Source organism: Homo sapiens, chromosome 11 (genome assembly GCF_000001405.40).
Source record: "Homo sapiens chromosome 11, GRCh38.p14 Primary Assembly".
NCBI lineage: Eukaryota > Metazoa > Chordata > Mammalia > Primates > Hominidae > Homo > Homo sapiens.
Window position 1 is genome coordinate 4,135,296 of NC_000011.10, and position 19,024 is coordinate 4,154,319.

General features: G+C 44.1%; 1 protein-coding gene and 1 pseudogene across 4 annotated transcripts in view; one reads left to right on the plus strand and one right to left on the minus strand.

Annotated features, from left to right (window-relative positions):
- The window catches only part of RRM1 (ribonucleotide reductase catalytic subunit M1), a 44,248-nt gene extending 40,611 nt beyond the window's left edge, over positions 1-3,637 (plus strand). For 3 of the 4 annotated variants that reach the window (NM_001318064.1, NM_001318065.1, NM_001330193.1), the window contains one exon: positions 2,900-3,630. In NM_001318064.1, the coding sequence (NP_001304993.1) occupies positions 2,900-3,088 (189 nt within the window). In that variant the 3' untranslated portion in view covers positions 3,089-3,630. Of the gene's footprint in view, positions 1-2,899 lie in introns of all 4 variants that reach the window. The other variant, NM_001033.5, reaches the window with a different exon arrangement.
- Positions 11,020-11,999, minus strand: OR55B1P (olfactory receptor family 55 subfamily B member 1 pseudogene; annotated as a pseudogene).

Consider the following 19,024-nt stretch of genomic DNA (forward strand, 5'->3'; position numbering starts at 1 on the left):
TTAATTGCCAGCTTGAGATATTTTGGCATTGGAATGATTTTATGTTTTAGCCACCTATTAAATATTATCACCTAGAAGTTCTTTAAGTTCAAATCCAGAACGTTAAAACCAACCCATGGTTTTTGTACCAGAACAGGGTCTTGCCTTGGATTTTCTTGTTTCTGTTAGGTTTATTTCCTTCTTAGGTTTGAAACCTTGTAGTTACCTGTGATGCTTTCCTTCCTTTACTGTCCGTACAATTACCAAGTTGTGTTGATTGTTCCTTTGTATTATTTCTTAAATATCTTCCTTCCTTTTCTGCTGCTGTTATTCTAAACTGACCTTATTGCTTCTAGGATCTCTGCTCCCAGCCATTTTGTGTGCATTACCACCATTCCTCAGATAAAACTTTGCACACGTCAACCCGCTATTCAAAAACATCCATTGTTTTCTCACTTTATAAAGTGAAAGCCAGCTTACTTAGCTAGTCGTTGCCAGCTGTAAAGTCTGGTGATTTTGGATTATGTTCTTATTCCCTGATAATGTATTGGGTATTTAAGTAGAATTATAAATTTGTTTTTTAATTTAACATTTATTGAACATCTAGTATGTGCCAGGACTGAGGATACTGAATAGAAGATGATGATCTTTATCTTTGAAGTCTTATAGTCTGTTGTTACACAGAGACACAGTCTAGCTCTCTAAACAGTTATAACCTAAGGCAGACATATTGTCTTGGGCAAACCTGGAAGTCATATGCATAAAAACAAAGACAAAAGAATAAAAATGTTTGACCTTTCCAAAGAGATAAGCCTGTTTTAGGAGTGAAAAGAACAGGATATTTCTGTCTGACTCACAAAGCATTTTTGAGAGTACTCCTAGAGGAGATAGAATTCCAAGTTTAAAAAAAGTTTGATCTGGTTCATGGGAATGTATTTTATTTTATGTATGTATGTATGTATTTTGAGACAGAGACTCACTCTGTTGCCCCGGCTGGAGTACAGCGGCATGATCTTGGCTCACTGCAACCTCTGTCCTGGGTTCAAGTGATTCTCATGTCTTAGCCTCCTGAGTAGCTAGGATCACAGGTGTGTGCCAACACACCTGGCTAATTTTTGTATTTTTATTAGAGATGGGGTTTTGCCATGTTGGCCAGGCTGGTCTCAAACTCCTGGCCTCAAGCAATTCACCTGCCTCGGCCTCCCAAAGTGCTCGAATTACAGGTGTGAGCCACTGTGCCTGGCCAGGAATGTATTTTATTTTATTTTAATATTATTGTTTTATTTTATTTTATACTTTTTTAGACGGAGTCTCGCTCTGTTGCCCAGGCTGGAGTGCAATGATACAGTCTTGGCTCACTGCAACCTCAGCCTCCTGAGTAGCTGAAATTTATAGGCATGTACTACCCCTCTTGGGGGATTACAGGCATGAGCCACAGCGCCCAGCCAGGAATGTATTTTTTTGTTTGTTTGTTTGTTTGTTTTTTCTTTTTATTTATTTATTTATTTATTTTTATTGATCATTCTTGGGTGTTTCTCACAGAGGGGGATTTGGCAGGGTCATAGGACAATAGTAGAGGGAGGGTCAGCAGATAAACAAGTGAACAAAGGTCTCTGGTTTTCCTAGGCAGAGGACCCTGCGGCCTTCCGCAGTGTTTGTGTCCCTGGGTACTTGAGATTAGGGAGTGGTGATGACTCTTAACGAGCATGCTGCCTTCAAGCATCTGTTTAACAAAGCACATCTTGCACCGCCCTTAATCCATTTAACCCTGAGTGGACACAGCACATGTTTCAGAGAGCACAGGGTTGGGGGTAAGGTCACTGATCAACAGGCTCACAAGGCAGAAGAATTTTTCTTAGTACAGAACAAAATGAAAAGTCTCCCGTGTCTACTTCTTTCTACACAGACACGGCAACCATCCGATTTCTCAATCTTTTCCCCACCTTTCCCGCCCTTCTATTCCACAAAGCCGCCATTGTCATCTTGGCCCGTTCTCAATGAGCTGTTGGGCACACCTCCCAGACGGGGTGGTGGCCAGGCAGAGGTGCTCCTCACATCCCAGACGGGGCGGCGGGGCAGAGGCGCCCCTCACCTCCCAGACGGGGCGGCTGGCCAGGCGGGGGGCTGACCCCCCACCTCCCTCCCGGACGGGGCGGCTGGCCGGGCGGGGGGCTCACACCCCCACCTCCCTCCCGGACGGGGCGGCTGGCCGGGCCGGGGGCTGAACCCCCCACCTCCCTCCCGGACGGGGCGGCTGGCCGGGCAGAGGGGCTCCTCACTTCCCAGTAGGGGCGGCCGGGCAGAGGGGCCCCTCACCTCCCGGACGGGGCGGCTGGCCGGGCTGGGGGCTGACTCCCCCCACCTCCCTCCCGGACGGGGCGGCTGGCCGGGCGGGGGGCTGACCCCCCCACCTCCCTCCCGGACGGGGCGGCTGGCCGGGCAGAGGGGCTCCTCACTTCCCAGTAGGGGCGGCCGGGCAGAGGCGCCCCTCACCTCCCGGACGGGGCGGCTGGCCGGGCTGGGGGCTGACTCCCCAACCTCCCTCCCGGACGGGGCGGCTGGCCGGGCTGGGGGCTGACTCCCCAACCTCCCTCCCGGACGGGGCGGCTGGCCGGGCGGGGGGCTCACACCCCCACCTCCCTCCCGGATGGGGCAGCTGGCCGGGCGGGGGGCTGACCCCCCCACCTCCTTCCCAGATGGGGCGGCTGGCCGGGCAGAGGACCTCCTCACTTCCCAGTAGGGGCGGCCGGGCAGAGGCGCCCCTCACCTCCCGGACGGGGTGGCTGGCCGGGCGGGGGCTGACCCCCCCACCTCCCTCCTGGACGGGGCGGCTGGACAGGAATGTATTTTAAATATTGGTGTGGAATGTCTAGTATTCTCACAGAGTTTCTCCTAATAATTGTCTTTACTTTCCTTGTAGGGTTTGAAGACTGGGATGTATTATTTAAGGACAAGACCAGCGGCTAATCCAATCCAGTTCACTCTAAATAAGGAGAAGCTAAAAGATAAAGAAAAGGTATCAAAAGAGGAAGAAGAGAAGGAGAGGAACACAGCAGCCATGGTGTGCTCTTTGGAGAATAGAGATGAATGTCTGATGTGTGGATCCTGAGGAAAGACTTGGAAGAGACCAGCATGTCTTCAGTAGCCAAACTACTTCTTGAGCATAGATAGGTATAGTGGGTTTGCTTGAGGTGGTAAGGCTTTGCTGGACCCTGTTGCAGGCAAAAGGAGTAATTGATTTAAAGTACTGTTAATGATGATAATGATTTTTTTTTTAAACTCATATATTGGGATTTTCACCAAAATAATGCTTTTGAAAAAAAGAAAAAAAAAACGGATATATTGAGAATCAAAGTAGAAGTTTTAGGAATGCAAAATAAGTCATCTTGCATACAGGGAGTGGTTAAGTAAGGTTTCATCACCCCTTTAGCACTGCTTTTCTGAAGACTTCAGTTTTGTTAAGGAGATTTAGTTTTACTGCTTTGACTGGTGGGTCTCTAGAAGCAAAACTGAGTGATAACTCATGAGAAGTACTGATAGGACCTTTATCTGGATATGGTCCTATAGGTTATTCTGAAATAAAGATAAACATTTCTAAGTGATTGTATGAGATTAATTTTGTCATTTACTTTCATATAAAAGTCAAATTTGAAAAACACATTTTCTGTTCTTTGAGAATTCAGGGAGGAAATTATATGCCTTTTTCTTTTCTTTTCCTTTCTGTAGTAAAATATACCTAATATACAATTTACCATTTTACCCATGTTTAAACATAAAATTCAGTGGCTTAAGCACATTCATAGTGTTATACTACCATCACCACTATTTGTTTCCAGAACTTCATCATCCCAAACAGAAACTCTGTATCAATAAGAACATTAACTCCCCCTTTCCCCTCCAAGTCCCTGGTAACCTCTATTCTACTTTCTGTCTCTATGAATATGCCTCTTCTAGGTACCTCGTATAAATGGAATACATGTCTGGCTTATTTCATTTAGCATAATGTTTTCACAGTTTATCCATGTTATAGCATGTATCCAAATTTCATTCTTTATGTATACCACACTTTTTTTTTTTTTTTTTTGAGACAGAGTCTTGCTCTGTCACCCAGGCTGTACGATCTTGGCTTGGCTCACCACAACGTCTACCTCCTGGGTTCAAGTGATAAGTGATTCTTGTGTCTCAGCTTTCCAAGTAGCTGGGACTATAGGTGCGCGCCACCATGCCTGGCTAATTTTTGTATTTTTGGTAGAGACCAGATTTCACCATGTTGGCCAGGCTGGTCTCAAACTTGTGGCCTCAAGGGATCTGTTTGCCTCGGCCTCCTAAAGTGCTGGGATTAAATGCCTGAGCCTCCACACCTGGACTACCACACTTTGTTAATCCACTTATCTTTTGATGGACATTTGGGTTCTTTCCTCCTTTTAAGGAATTTTGACTAATGCTCTTGTGAACATTGGCTTAAAAGTATCTATTGAGTTCCTGCTTTCAATTTGTTTGGGTATGTATACAGGGGTGAAGTTGCTGGAAATTATGGTGATTCTATCTTTAACTTTTTGAGGAACTACCAAACTTTTCCACAGCAGCTACATTATTTTACATTTCCACCAGCAATACAATAGGGTACCATTTTCTCCACATCTTCATCAACACTTATTTTTCATATTTTTGTTTTGTTTTGTTTTTTGAGAGACGGTCTTGCTCTGTTGCCCAGGCTGGAGTGCAATGGTACCATCATAGCTCACTGCAGCCTTGATCTCCTGGGCTCAAACAATCCTCCCATCTCAGCCTCTCAAAGTCTTGGGGTTACAGGTGTAAGCCACCACACCCAGCTCATATTTTTTATAATAGCCATCTTAATGACTTGACAATTTCATTATAATGTGTCTTGGTGTGGGTCTCTGAGTTTATCCTACTTGGGACTTCCTGGGCTTATTGGATTTGTAGATTCACATCTTTTGTTAAATTTGGGTTGTTTTTGGCCATTATTTAGATAATTTTTCTTCCCCTTTCTCTTTCCTTATAGGGACTTCCATAGTGCATCTATTGGTTGACTTGACGGTGTTCCATAGGTCTGTTAGGCGTTGTTTACTTTTCTTTATTTTTTCTTTCTATTCCAAGACTTGATAATTTCAGTGTCCTATCTTCCAGTTTTCTGATTCTCTCTTCTTCCTGCTCAAATCTATTGTTGTGCTCCTCTAGTGAATTTTTCATTTCAGTTATTCTTTTCAACTCCAGAATTTTTATTCTTCTTTGTAATTTTTGTCTCTGTTGATATTCTGATTTTGTTAATCATTGTTTTTCTGATTTCCTTTACTTATTTGTTCATCTTTTCCTTTAGCTCTTTGAGTATATTTAATACAGTTGTTTTAATGTCTTTGTTGAGTAAATCCAATGTCTTGGCTTTCTCAGGGATGGTGTCTATCATTTTTTCTTGATACTTTGAATGGGCCATGTTTTCTTTCTTTCCTTTTTTTTTTTTTTTTGTATGCCTTGTAATTTTTGTTGTTGAAAAATGGGCATTTGACTGTTATAATGAGGTAACTCCAGTAATCAGATTCTCCTACTCCAGAGCTTACTGTTTTTTGTTTCATTGCTATGTTGAAGACTGTAGTACTCCATTTGAGACATTTCCAAACTTTTTTTTTTTTTAAGACAGTGTCTCGCTGTGTCACCCCAGGCCAGAATGCAGTGGTGTGATCTTGGCTCACCGCATGCTCTGCCTCTGGATTCAGGCAATTCTCATGCCTTAGCCCCCTGAGTAGCTGAGATTACAGGTGTGTGCCACCATGCCTGGCTATATTTTGTGGTGTTAGTAGAAATGTGGTTTTGCCATGTTGGCCAGGCTGGTGTTGAACTCCTGGCCTCAACTGATCCACCCACCTCAGCCCCCCAAAGTGCTGGCATTACAAGTGTGAACCACCACGTCCAGCCCAAACTAATTTTTCAGACTATTCTTTGTCACGTATGATTGCCAAAGTCTTTGTTCCTTTAGTGCATGTTCAGTTATTGTTTTGACAGAGATATATGATACCTTCAAACTTTTTGTCACACTAATAAGATTGGCTGGTTGCTTTTAATTGCACTGGACAAATTGGAGAAAGAAAAGGATGACTTTAGTGATTTGAATTCTCAACTTAAGTACTAGACCTGAACATTTCTGTTTCTGCTTTGAAAGAAACTTTACGTTCTGTAGCTGCAGAGTTGAGATTTCTGAAACCAAACCCAGAATCTCATTTTGCAAGTGCCTGAGTTACAATGCAAATTGAATTCTGAGCCTTGCAGTGTGCCTTTGCTATTAAAGTGAGGATATTGACTAGGAATGAATGGGATCCTGAAAATTGGAATGGTGACATATGGGAAGATCCTGTTGAAGCTGGTAATATTGAATCTCTAAATTCTGATGAGTCTTCATTGCCAGTAGAAGCAGAGTTAACTGATTTACCCAAACTGATTATACCTAATTGACATTAACTGCTTTCCCTGAGGAAACTGATGTCTTCCTCTGAGATAATTGCCTTGCAGGACACTGCTGATTGTCCTCAGGACCCACCCTGACCACCCCTCTTTGGTTCTAAACCTATAACTAGATTCAAGTCCCAGCAGGCCCCAAAGGTGAGGTACAAAGTGAGATCTATGAGGAGGTGTGCTACACTCAAAAAGAACTACATGATTCTTCCCATTTGAGAATATGTGTGGAAATGGATATTAAGGATATGTGATAATGGTGGAAGGAACATAAAGTTGGATCAGGCTCAGTTTATTGATAGGGGCCCACAAAGCAGAGGTTTTGGATTTAATATTGCAGCATGGGGGATCGAAAAGTGCCTGCTCTAGCTGGTTGGTTGGTTGGTTGAAACATGGACCAAAATTTGCCCTAAGTGAAGTTGAAATGCCAGTCCTGCCTTGGTATACTATAGAGGAAGTAGTTCAAAGGCTTAGGGAGATCGAAATGTTAGAGTGGATTTATCATTTAAAAGACCAGCTCTCCCACCCTGAGGGAAGTCTGGAGGACACTTCACCATGACTGTGAGAAGTAAATTTGTGAGGGAAGCCTCAGCATCCTTAAAGACCTCTGTGATTGCTCTTTTCTGTAGGTCTGAAATTACACTGCCACTGAATTGGGAAACCTAAATTCAGTGGGAGTAATTGGATCCCATAGTGCCAGGTAGAGACACTTAATTGCCAAAGGCAGGGTGGGAATAGTTACTATAATGGACAGCAGAGTTAAAGCAGCAATCAGAATCGTCTGACTTGGCCAGATGCAGTGGCTCACACCTGTAATCCCAGCACTTTGGGAGGCCGAGGCAGGCAGATCACTTGAGGTCAGGAGTTTGAAATCAGCCTGGCCAACATGGTGAAAGCCTGTCTCTACCAAAAATACAAAAATTAACCTGGTGTTGTGGCGTGCATCTGTAATCCCAGCTACTTGGGAGGCTGAGGCAGGAGAATTGCTTGAACCCAGGCGGCAGAGGCTGCAGTGAGCTGAGATTGTGCCACTGCACTCTAGCCTAGGTGACAGAGCGAGACTCTGTCTCAAAAAAAAAAAAAAGTCTGACTCACAGAGATACGGTTTGGCTAGATGATCATGGAGTTCCTCGAGGTGAAATACATGGGGAATCTATTAAATTCTAACTTGATCTATATAAGCAGAAGAGTTTCCGGTTAAGTGAACAAGTCTAATTTGAATAATAAAACCAGAATTATGGCCCCTCAATCAATTCCCAGATTTGAACTAGTTTACAGACCCAGAACCCCTCAAATGAAAGGGAGACCAAGTCCCCTTGAGGAAGGATCCCACTGCACTATCAAAGATATATACTGTTAAATCTTTCTCCCAGCCTTTCCCAGAAGGATCTATGGCCTTTTACTAGTAACTACATTGGGAAAAAGAGATAATCAAACCTTTTGAGGATTACTGGACACAGACTCTAAACTGACACTAGTTCCAGGAAACTAAAACGTCACTGTGATCTTCCAGCTGGAGTAGGAGCTTATGGAGGTCAGGTAATCAATGGAGTTTTACCTCCAGTCTGTCTCACAGTGGCTCCAGGGATCCCTGAAACCATCCTGTGGTTATTTCACTATGCAGTTCGGGAATGCGTAATTGGAATAGATACACTCAGCAACTGACACAGAGAACCAACCATATTGGTTCTCTGACTTGAGTGAGGGCTATTATAGTGGGAAAGTTCAAGTGGAAGCCACTAGAACTGCCTCTACCTAGGAAAATGATAAACCAAAATCAATATTGCATTCCTGGAAGGATGCCAGAAATTAGTGCCACCATCAAGGTCTTAAAGTATGCAGAAATAATTTCCACCCCATCCCCATTCAACTCACCTGTTTGGCCTTTGCAGAAAATACGAATTTTGGAGAAAGACAATGGATTATCATAAGCTTAACTGGGTGATTACTCCAACCAGAGGCAGTTCTATTGCTTGAGCAAGTTAACACATATCCTCATACCTGGTATGCAGCTATTGATCTGGCAAATGCTTTTTTCTCCATACCCCTTAGTAAGGACCACCAGAAACAAGTTTGTTTTCAGCCGGCAAGGCCAGCAATACACCTTCACCATCCTGCCTCATGAGTATATAAACTCTCCAACCATATATCATAGTTTAGTTTACAGGATTTTGATCAGCTTTCTGTTCCACAAGATACCACTCTGGTCCAATACGTTGGTGACATTATATCGATTGGACCTATGAGCAAGAAGTAGTGACTTCTCTAGACTCATTGGTAGAATACTGGCATGTCAGAAGGTGGGAAATCTCACTAAAATTCAGGGCCACCTTCTACACAGGACAATTTCTAGGCATCTAGTGTGAGGCATGTCGAGATACCCTTTCTAAGGTTAAGGATAAATTGTTGCATCTGACGACTCCTACAAGCAAGAAAGAGGCATGATACTTAGTGTACCTCTTTGAGTCTTGGAGGTAAAAAATCATGGTAACCATTTCCAGCTTGGTTATGGCAACTGAGTGCCTCCACGTGCCACTCTGAAATCTAATTACTCCCATTGAATTTAGGTTTCATTTGGAGCAGCACACTGGGGCATGCTACTCCATCCTGTTTACCAAAAGCTGCTAGTTCTGGGGCCCAGAACTACACAAGGCACTGCCACAGGTCCAGGCTGCCAGGGAAGTTTCTCTGCTACTTGGGCCATCTGATCCATCAGATCCAGTGGTGCTTGAAGTGGCAGTGGCAGATAGAGATGCTCATTGGAGGCTTTGGCAGACCCCTGTAAGTGAATCACAGGACAGGCCCTTAGGATTTTGGACCGAAGCCCTGCCATCATCCCCTGTGGGTAACTACTCTCCTTTTGAGAAATAGCTTTTGGTTTGCCTTAGTAGAGACTGAACACTTAACCATGGGCCACCAAATTACCATGTGACTTGAGTTGGCTGTTGTCCGACTCAACTTGCCATAAAATTGAGCATGCACAGTAGCAGTCCATCATCAAATGGAAGTGATATATACAAAATCAGGCTCAAGCAAACCCTGAAGGCACAAGTGACCATGAAGAAGTGACCCAAAATCCCGAGGTCTCCAGTTCTGCTACACTGCCTTTTCTTCCCCAGCCTGCACCTATGGCCTCATGGGGAGTTCCCTATGATCAACTGACAGGAAGAAAAAACTCAGGCTTGTTTAGTAGATAATTCTGTGCAGTGTGCAGGCACCGCACCCCCTTTCTGGGACATTACCTGAACACTTTTCCCTTCTGTAGATGATAAGGAGCTGTGGACGTTTTTTTTGTTTTGTTTGTTTTTGTTTTTGTTTTTGTTTTAATTTTGAGACAGAGTTTCACTCTGTTGCCCAGGCTGGAGTGCAGTGGCTCGATCTTGGCTCACTGCAGCCTCTGCCTCCTGGGTTCAAGCGATTCTCCTGCCTCAACCTTCCAAGTAGCTGGGACTACAGGCGCACGCCACCACACCGGGTTAATTTTTGTATTTTTGGTAGAGACGGGCTTTCGCCATGTTGGCCAGGCTGGTCTCAAACTCCTAGCCTCAAGTGATCTGCCTGCCTCGGCCTCCCAAAGTGCTGGGATTACAGGTGTGAGCCACTGCCCAGCCAGAGCTGTGGAAGTCTTTTAAGCAGGGGTTAGCTTTTAGGTAGATCACATTGGCTGTCATAGGAAGAATGGCCTGACTATGGGTTTGGTTCCGACTTTGATCTGGATCCCAGATCAGGGCTTAGTCTGGTTTTTGGGTCAGACTTGGGCTCCAGTGCAGGACCCTGTCTGTGTGCCTGAGGTCAGCACGGTGGCCTCAAAATGTGACCTGTGTGTTTGGCTGAGTTTGGGTTTCCCAGGGTAGGGTCTACTGTGGTCTTTGGGTCAGACTGGGACCCCGAAGAAGACCTGGTCTGGGTGTGTGTCAGACTGGGGACCCTTGGGCAGGAGCTGACCTGTTTGTGTGGGCTAGACTGGACATCGCAGGGTAAACCTGACCTATGTGCCTGTACAGCTTGGGGATCTCAGGAAAGGACCTCACTTGTGTTTGGGACTGACTGGACTCTAGAACCCAGCCTGCTACCTGGATTAGACTGGAAGCCTCAAGGATGACCTGTGTATTAGGTCTGAATAAACTTCATGTCAAGCTTAGGCTATGTTTGGGAGAGACTGGGCTTCAGGGAAGTGCCCGCCTGTTTATTTGTTTCAGACTGGGTGTTGTTCAGACAGGGCAGGTTGTGGTCTGTATGACTTGCTCTATAAGACTACCTTAGTGAAGCCCCATACATCCAGATATTAGTTGGGACTTCCTCAGGAGTTGGGAGGAGGACAGAGAAAATAAACCAAGAAGGATAAATAGGTAAATGCAATTTTATTACTGGGGGTGAAAACAAAGAGCATTCTAAGAATTTAACAAGCAACAGTTGACCAACAGGGAACCTGCTGTTGAGCCCGTAATCTGCTGAGGAAATTTGAGCCTGTCCCTGAGTACTGCCTGCTTATCTCTTCTCAGAGATCATAGCCCCAACTTTCGAAGGTAGTAAAGTCCCTCACCCTGGCGGTTTCCAGTCTCATGTTCTGCAGCCTCTTTGGCTTCTCCCCAGCCTTCTGGGCTGTTTCCTTTTCACAGAGCATCTTTTCTACATGTTGCTGGATCTCCCTAGTCCTCACCCCATAAATGACAGGATTCAAGGCTCCTGGAAGCAGCAAGTATATGGCACTGAGTAGATTCTGGACATTCTGGGACACAGTCTTGGCTACTCAGAAGGTGATGGAAGTGGAAAGACCAGAGACGTAGATGGAGAGGATGACCAGTAGGTGGGAGCCACACGTGTGTAAGGCCTTGGCTTGGGCTCCCCAAGAAGAGATCCGGAAGGCAGCATAGATGATGTGGGTGTAGGAGGTCCCCAGCAGGGCCATATCAGAGATTACAGTGACCAAACACATAGCCAGCCCCAGCCAGTTGTTGAAGGTCAGGTCTCCACAAGCTATGCTCAGCAGTGCAATGCACTCACAGGTGAAGTGTCGAATCACTGCTGTCCGGCAGAATCGGGCTTTTGCAGTTAGTACTACCAAGGGCACTGTCACTCCCAGGCTCTGTGTCAAGGCAAGAATGGCCAGCAGTCCCAGCAGCTGGGAGGTCATCAGGTCAGAATAGCAGAGTGGGTGGCAGATGGCTACGTAGCAGTCCAGGGCCATGGCCAGAGGAAGTTGTAGTCCAGGAGGAGGGTGAAGTAGATAAAGAACACCTAGGCCAGGCGGCCATGCAGCGATATGGGGTTAGCATAATATACAAAGCCCTCCAGCATTTTAGGCATCACGGCTGTGGCAGCACGAATATTGACAGCCAGGAGCACAGTGATGAGCATACACGTAGGCTGATGCAGATTTTGCCGGGCAACCACTGTGTGGATGACCAGGGCATTGGCAGAGATGATGGTCACAAAGAGGAAGACAAGAGGCAGGACCAGAAGGGGCCACCACTCTCGAAGTCCAGGGAAACCCACCAGGAAGAACTTGGTGCAGGAGATGTTGAAGGTGCTTGTATTTCCATCCTCACCCATTAGCTTTGGCCCTGGGCCGGCACCAAGAGTGGGGATCAGAGACTGTTAGAACAAAATGGTCAATTTTAAAAAGACTTTTTCTGTTGTAGACACTGAGGAATTTGTGATAAAAGCCTACTTCTTCATGTATGTATTCCTTTGGGGCACAGATAAGTACTAAGCCGGGTGTTGTAGGAACTACACAGTTACCTACAATCTTTGTAGGTAACAATCTTTGTCCTCAGGGAGCTCTTGGCCTCATGTGTGTGAAATGTAAATGTAAACTTACAAGATACTTGTTTACTTGTAATGTTCCAGATATTTGCTCAGTAAAAGATTAGGAGGAGAAGTAGGTGTAGTATACACAGGGGAAAAAGAGTGACAGCCAGAGACAAAACAAGAAAGGTTAAAAGAAGACTCTTGATTCAGAGGAAGAGAAAGTATTAGAAGAATCTTTGATCCAAGGAGTCTGGGAAGGCCCAAGTGGGGCTTAACAGGGAGAGAAGAACCAGCCGGGAATGATGGCATCACTTGTGTGCTTGGGACACACTGTGGCAAGGAGAGATGGAAGTTGCTGAGGAAGAATTCTGGTCTTCCTGGATCACAAGAAACAGGCTGCAGAGACTGCTTCCTTCCTAAGTCCTCGTAGATTGGCTGTGGTGCCTGCTGCCTGGCCTTGTCCTCAGTGTCATGGATGATGAGTTTGCTTTCCTTTCAGAATGTAGGTTCCAGGAGGGCAGGGATAATAGCATGCTTCTGGTGGGCTCACTGGAGCTCCAAGCACAGAGTCACCATAGAGGCGCAGGACAGGCTTGAGAATTGCTTGTTGAGTAGGTGCATGAGGAACAGGAAGAAGACAATAGGAGGCTGAACATTTAATTGGGATCTTACAGCAGTTGTTTCAAAGCTTTGGCCAGGGGCCAGGACTGTTCTACATACCTGATACTCCACAAACTAGGCAGCATTCAACAGTCTTCAAGCTTTTTTTTTTTTTTTTTTTAAGAGGTAGGGTCTTGCTATTTTGCCCAGGCTGTTTTTGAACTCCTGGACTCAAGCAGCCCTCTTGCCTCAGCCTCCCAGGCATGAGCCACTGCGCCTGGTCACTTCAAGCATTCTGAATCTCAGCAGCAATATGAAGAGTTAGCATTTATTCAGTACTTGCTACCTGCCAGACATGGTTCCAAGTGTTTTCCATGTGATATCTCTTTAATACTTGCAGAAATCCTAAGAGACAACTTTAGCTGTCCCTTTGTATCTGCGGGAGATTAGTTCCAGGACCTGCTGTGGATATCAAAATCTGCAGATGCTCAAGTCCCTTATATAAAATGGTGCTGGGAAAACTGGATATCCATATGCAGAAGAATGAAACTAGATGCCCTACCTCTCATCCTATACAAAAATCAAGTCAAGATAGATTAAAGACCTAAATGTAGGACCCAAAACTATAAAACTACTGGAAAAAATATAGATCAGGGAAATGATTTAGACATTGGTCTGGGAAAAGACTTTATGAATAACCTCAAAAGCACAGGAAACAAAAGAAAAATAAGCAAATGGGATTATATCAAATTAAAAAGCTTCTGTACAGCAAAGGAAATAATCAACAGCGTGAAAAGACAACCTACAGAATGGGAGAAAATATTTGCTAGCTATTTATCTGACAGAGGATTAATATCCAGAATATATAAGGAACTCAAATATTTCAATAGCAACCCCCCCAAAAAACAATTGATTAAAAATGAGCAAATGATCTGAACAGAAATTTCTCAAAAGAAGAGATAAAAGGGCAATAAATATATGAAAAAATGCTCACCATCCCTAATCATTAGGGAAATACAAATCAAAACCACAATGAGGTAGGCTCTCACCCCAGTTAGGATGGCTATTATCAGAAAGACAAAAAAAAAAATGCTGCAGAGGATGCAAAGAAAAGGGAACTCACATATACTGTTGTTGGGACTGTAAACTATTAATAATACAATAAGCTATTAATAAGCCACTATGGAGAACAGTATGGAAGTTCCTCAGAAAACTACAAATATAGCTAGGTGCAGTGACTTATGCCTGTAACCCCAGGCACTTTGGGAGGCTGCGGTGGGAGGATCACTTGAATCCGGGAGTTCGAGACCAGCTTGGGCAACATAGCAAGACCCCATCTCTACAAAAAGTAAAAAAATTATCTGGACCTGGTGGTGTGCACCTGTCATCCTGACTACTCAGGAGGCTGAGGCAGGAAGATTGCTTGAGCCCAGGAGGTCGAGGCTACAGTGAGCTATGATCATGCCACTGCTCTCCAGCCTTGGGTGACAGAGTGAGATCCTATCTCTAAAAACAAGCAAAAAACAAACCCAAAAAACTACAACTAGAGCTACTATATGATCCAGTAATCCACTACTGAGCGTTTATCTAAAGGAAACAAAATCAATATATTGAAGAGACATCTATTTTACCATGTTTATTGCAGCACTATTCACAATAGCCAAAATATGGAATCAACCTAGGTGTCTAACAACAGATGAATGGCACATGTACACAATGGAATATTATTCAGCCATAAAAAGGAATGCAGTCTTGTCATTCACAGCAATATAAGTGGAAGTGGAGGACATGTTAAGTAAAATAAGCCAAGAACAGGAAGTTAAATACTGCATGTTCTCACTCCTATGCACAAGCTAAAAAATTGTTGGTCTTGGTCTTGTAGAAGTAAAAGTAGCACAGAGGACTTGAGGCTGGGGAAGGTAGGGGGAAAGGAAGGATAGGGAGGGATTTATTAAATATACAACATGACAGCAAGATAGTAGGAATAAGTTCTAGTGTTCTATACACTGTAGGATGACTACAGTTAACAATACATGGTTTCAAATAGCTAGGATAGTAAATGTTCTCAGGACAAAGAAATGATGTATTTGAGATGATGGATATTCTAATTACTCTTATCTAATCACTCTCCATTGTATGTATCAAAACATCACCATGTACCCCACAAATATGTACAATTATCTGTGTCACTAAAAAAGTTTAAAAATTACATAGAGTTTACATATAATCTATGCACATCCTCCCATATACTTTAAATTGTTTCCAGATTACTTGTAACACCTAGTACAATGTAAATGCTATGTAAATAGTTGTTATACCATTTTTTTTTTTTTTTTGAGACGGAGTCTCACTCTGTCGCCCAGGCTGGAGTGCAGTGGTGCAATCTCGGCTCACTGCAACCTCCGCCTCCTGGGTTCTTGCCATTCTCCTGCCTCAGCCTCCCGAGTAGCTGGGACTACAGGCGCCTGCCAGCACGCCCAGCTAATTTTTTGTATTTTTAGTAGAGACGGGTTTTCACTGTGTTAGCCAGGATGGTCTCCATCTCCTGACCTTGTGATCCGCCCACCTCGGCCTCCCAAAGTGCTGGGATTACAGGCGTGAGCCACCGCACCCAGCTCTTATACTGTATTTTAAATTTTGTATTTTTTTATTGTTGTATTCTTGATTTTTAAATTTCTTTTCGACTATTTTTGATCTGCAGTTGGTTGAACCTACAGATGTCAGACCCATGGATATAGAGGGCTGCATGCATAATACTATTTATTAACCCAGGTTATAGCTGAAGACACTGAGATTTAGAGAGGTTAACTAATGTTCTTAAAGTATCATAGGTATACCTTTAAATGATAGGGCTGGGATATGACTTAGTGACTTAGGTATGTCAATGGTAAAAGGTGGAGTTCAGCTCCAATCTCAGGTTTACCTCTCTCCAAATCCCCCATAAATTTATTGTTGCCTCACCGTGGCAGCCTGCAGTAGTCTCCAGTTGGGTTGCAGCCTGCTGTGTCTTTGGTTTCGCCTCTGAAGAGCTAAGGCTGGAGGTCAGGTCAGTGCCCAACTCCAAGGCACTATGAGGCTGATTTATGAGGGATGGAAAATTAGACCTGTGGCTCCAGGGGAGAAGCCTGAGGAGATTCCCAGAGGGTAGTCATTCCAAAGGGCACTCAAAAGGAGGAAACAAGGAGAAACCCAGAAGAACCCATCTGTCCCTCAGAGAGGACCCCAGGAGAGGGCTGGGTGGAGGTGACAGTATCCAAATTTTTTTTTTTTTTTTTTTTTTTTTGAGACAGAGTCTCACTCTGTTGCCTAGGCTGGAGTGCAGTGGTGCAATCTTGATCTCGGCTCACTGCAACCTCCACCTCTTGGGTTCAAGCAATTCTCCTGCCTCAGCCTCCCGAGTGGCTGGGATTACAGGTGCCTGCCACCATGCCCAGCTAATTTTTGTATTTTTAGTAAAGACAGGGTTTCATCATGTTGGCCAGGCTGGTCTTGAACTCCTGACCTGAAGTGATCCACCTGCCTCAGCCTCCCAAAGTGCTGGGATTACAGGTGTGAGCCACTGTGCCAGGCCCTGTACTAACATTTTTTTCTCTATGGCTCTTGGCATTTTTCACAGAGCAATCACTTCTGCTAAGGGATTTCCCCTCTTTTACAGATGAGCCATTAGAGGCTCAGGAAGAGCAAGTGAGGTTTCAGAACAAGTCCCATCCCAGGGGCATAAACAGGCATAATCTGTATATCACTGACTAGGATGACCTGGGGCTAAGCTGAGGGAAGGGGCTCTTGCAATTTGAAGGTTAAATGGACACTTAGGGGGTACCCAAAGTCAGGAAAGAGCTCTGGGGTGACAATAGGAGAGCCCAGTGGTCAAGACATGGATCTGATTTAGGGTCTGTGTGTGTGTGTGTGTGTATGTGCATGCAAGCTGCGGTTGGTGAGGAATTTACTTCTGGGTGGTTCAGAAATTAGGGCAGAGAGTGCAGTGTGTACTCAGCTGTGAAAAACTGGGAACCACAGAGGCAGGGGCTGGCTCCTCCAGGGAGGCATCCAGTTTGTCCTCTGGAATTTGGAAATAGGACTAAAAAAGCTCCTCTTTTTCTCTTTTTTTATACCTTCTTTGGATCTTCTTTTTGTGATTTCATTTACTCTCCTTTGTTGGTTTATTAGTTGTTCCTCTTTGTTGTCTTATTTCCTCTTGGTTGCTTTAGGGTTTATAGTACATATCTTTAACTTACCACAGTCTATCTACAAGTACTATTAAGTCTTTCACAAATAGTGTGAGATTTTTACAACACAACGTAGCTCTTGTGTCCATTTTGCTTTCTCATTTTTATACAGTTACTCATTCCTTTATTTTTTTCTTCACATCTTTACTGAGCACTTACTTTGTGCTAGGCCATATGCTGGATGCATGGATACAACAATAAGTAACATTTGTGTTCCCTGAGTGAGTCTGCATTCTACTGAGTAGGCTAGTAATGACAATCAATGGTCAAAATACAGCATGTAACAGTATACTCAACAAATGCATCCCAAAATACTATCTGCTTTTAACATCTACCAAGTCCAGGAAGGACCAATGCCAGGTCAGTTGAGGTCATGTCTACTCTTGAGCTATTCTCCATTCCTGTGACTTGGTGAGGTGAAAAGCCATCAGTTATAAACTAGGGAGAGAAAGAAAAGATAGGGAAAAGATTAAGGGACAAATCTGACTAACTCCCATTTCCCACCCTGGGCGTCCAATTTGAAGGAGGCACAGGTGGTGGGGGTGGTGTTGGGGCAACCTCTAATTTCAATGTTTGGGGCTTTTATAGTTAGGTGGGTGTGGCTATTTGAATGGTTAATATGAGGTGGTCTTTGAAATTAAAAGTGACCCAAGGACTTTTTAATATTTTTTAAGGAATTAACAAAGTCATATTAGAAACTTCTTGAGATTTTGTCCAAGGAGCAGCACAGATCATACCTGAATGGAGAACAGGCAGAAAAAGTAAGCTGTTCTGGTGCTCCTTTTGGAGCATCGCTTTTCCAAAGCAATGGTGTAAGAAGAGCTACAGGGCCAGGCACAGTGACTCTCGTCTGTAATTCTAGCACTTTGGTAATCTGAGGTGGTAGGATTGCTTGAGATCCAGGAGTTTGAAAGTAACCTGGACAATATAATGGGACACTGTCTCTATAGAAAATAATAAAGAAAATTAGCTGGGTGTCGTGGTGCACACTTACAGTCCCAGCTTCTCAGGAAGCTGAGGTGGGAGGATTGCTTGAGCCCAGGAGATTGTGGCTGCAGTGAGCCATGAACAAGAGATTCAGGAGCATGGTGGATGAAGATCTGACTGTGCCTGGTGTAGGTTGGGAGAGGAATGAGAGAATGATGTATTAGGGAAAATCAAGCCCAGTAATGCTTTACTGAGTTCAAGTATGTTAGGTTCTTCCAGTTTTAGCAAGTGCATAAAAATGGAACTGATATGTAGATATCTAGAGATATTTGAAAGGAACCAACTTCAAGTTGAACAATCTGTAATCGACATTAGCCTTTTTCCCTTTCCTTTTTTCAGTCTTCAGATTTTTCCAAAGATTTCTTATGAATGTACTGCAGAGAAATCCCAAACCCATGTTCAAATTCTTCCAGTAAGTGTAAGTACTTTGTCTAGGCAAGAGATTTGAATTTTACTGGCATTGCCAGATGCTCTCTTATAATCTCTTACCATGATAGGGAAGGGGCTTTAGTTCTTTCAGACATCCTTGTTATGCCTTTTCTGGTTTTAAGCTATTTTCTCATGATATGGGGATACAAATAAAGTGGGAGATGAGCAATTTCTTTGTTCTTTCTTAATATTACTCACCTGCCCAAGATCTAGAGAGCCCTTCTGTTTTCTTTCCCCTTTCCTTCATTCCAATAACTTATTGAAAACCCCATTCTGGCCCACTCAGACTGCAGCCCTCCCCACAGCCCTTCTGAGGCTGTCTTGGAGGTGCAAGGTCAGAGTATGAAGTGGGGACCCTGTACCCAAAGCTTAGGCAGACACCCTAGTCTAGGGCTTGGGCTTTCACAGGCAAGTATAGAGTCAAAAAGAAATGAGAAACGGCCTAGATCTCAATAAATGTTTGGTGGTGGACAATCACAGGGATAAAAAGCCTTTGTTCTTCCCTGGTCCCCACCTGGGATCATAAGATCAGAGAACCAAGAACTCAGAGACTCAAGAATGAGAGAATCTAAGAATCATTTAGA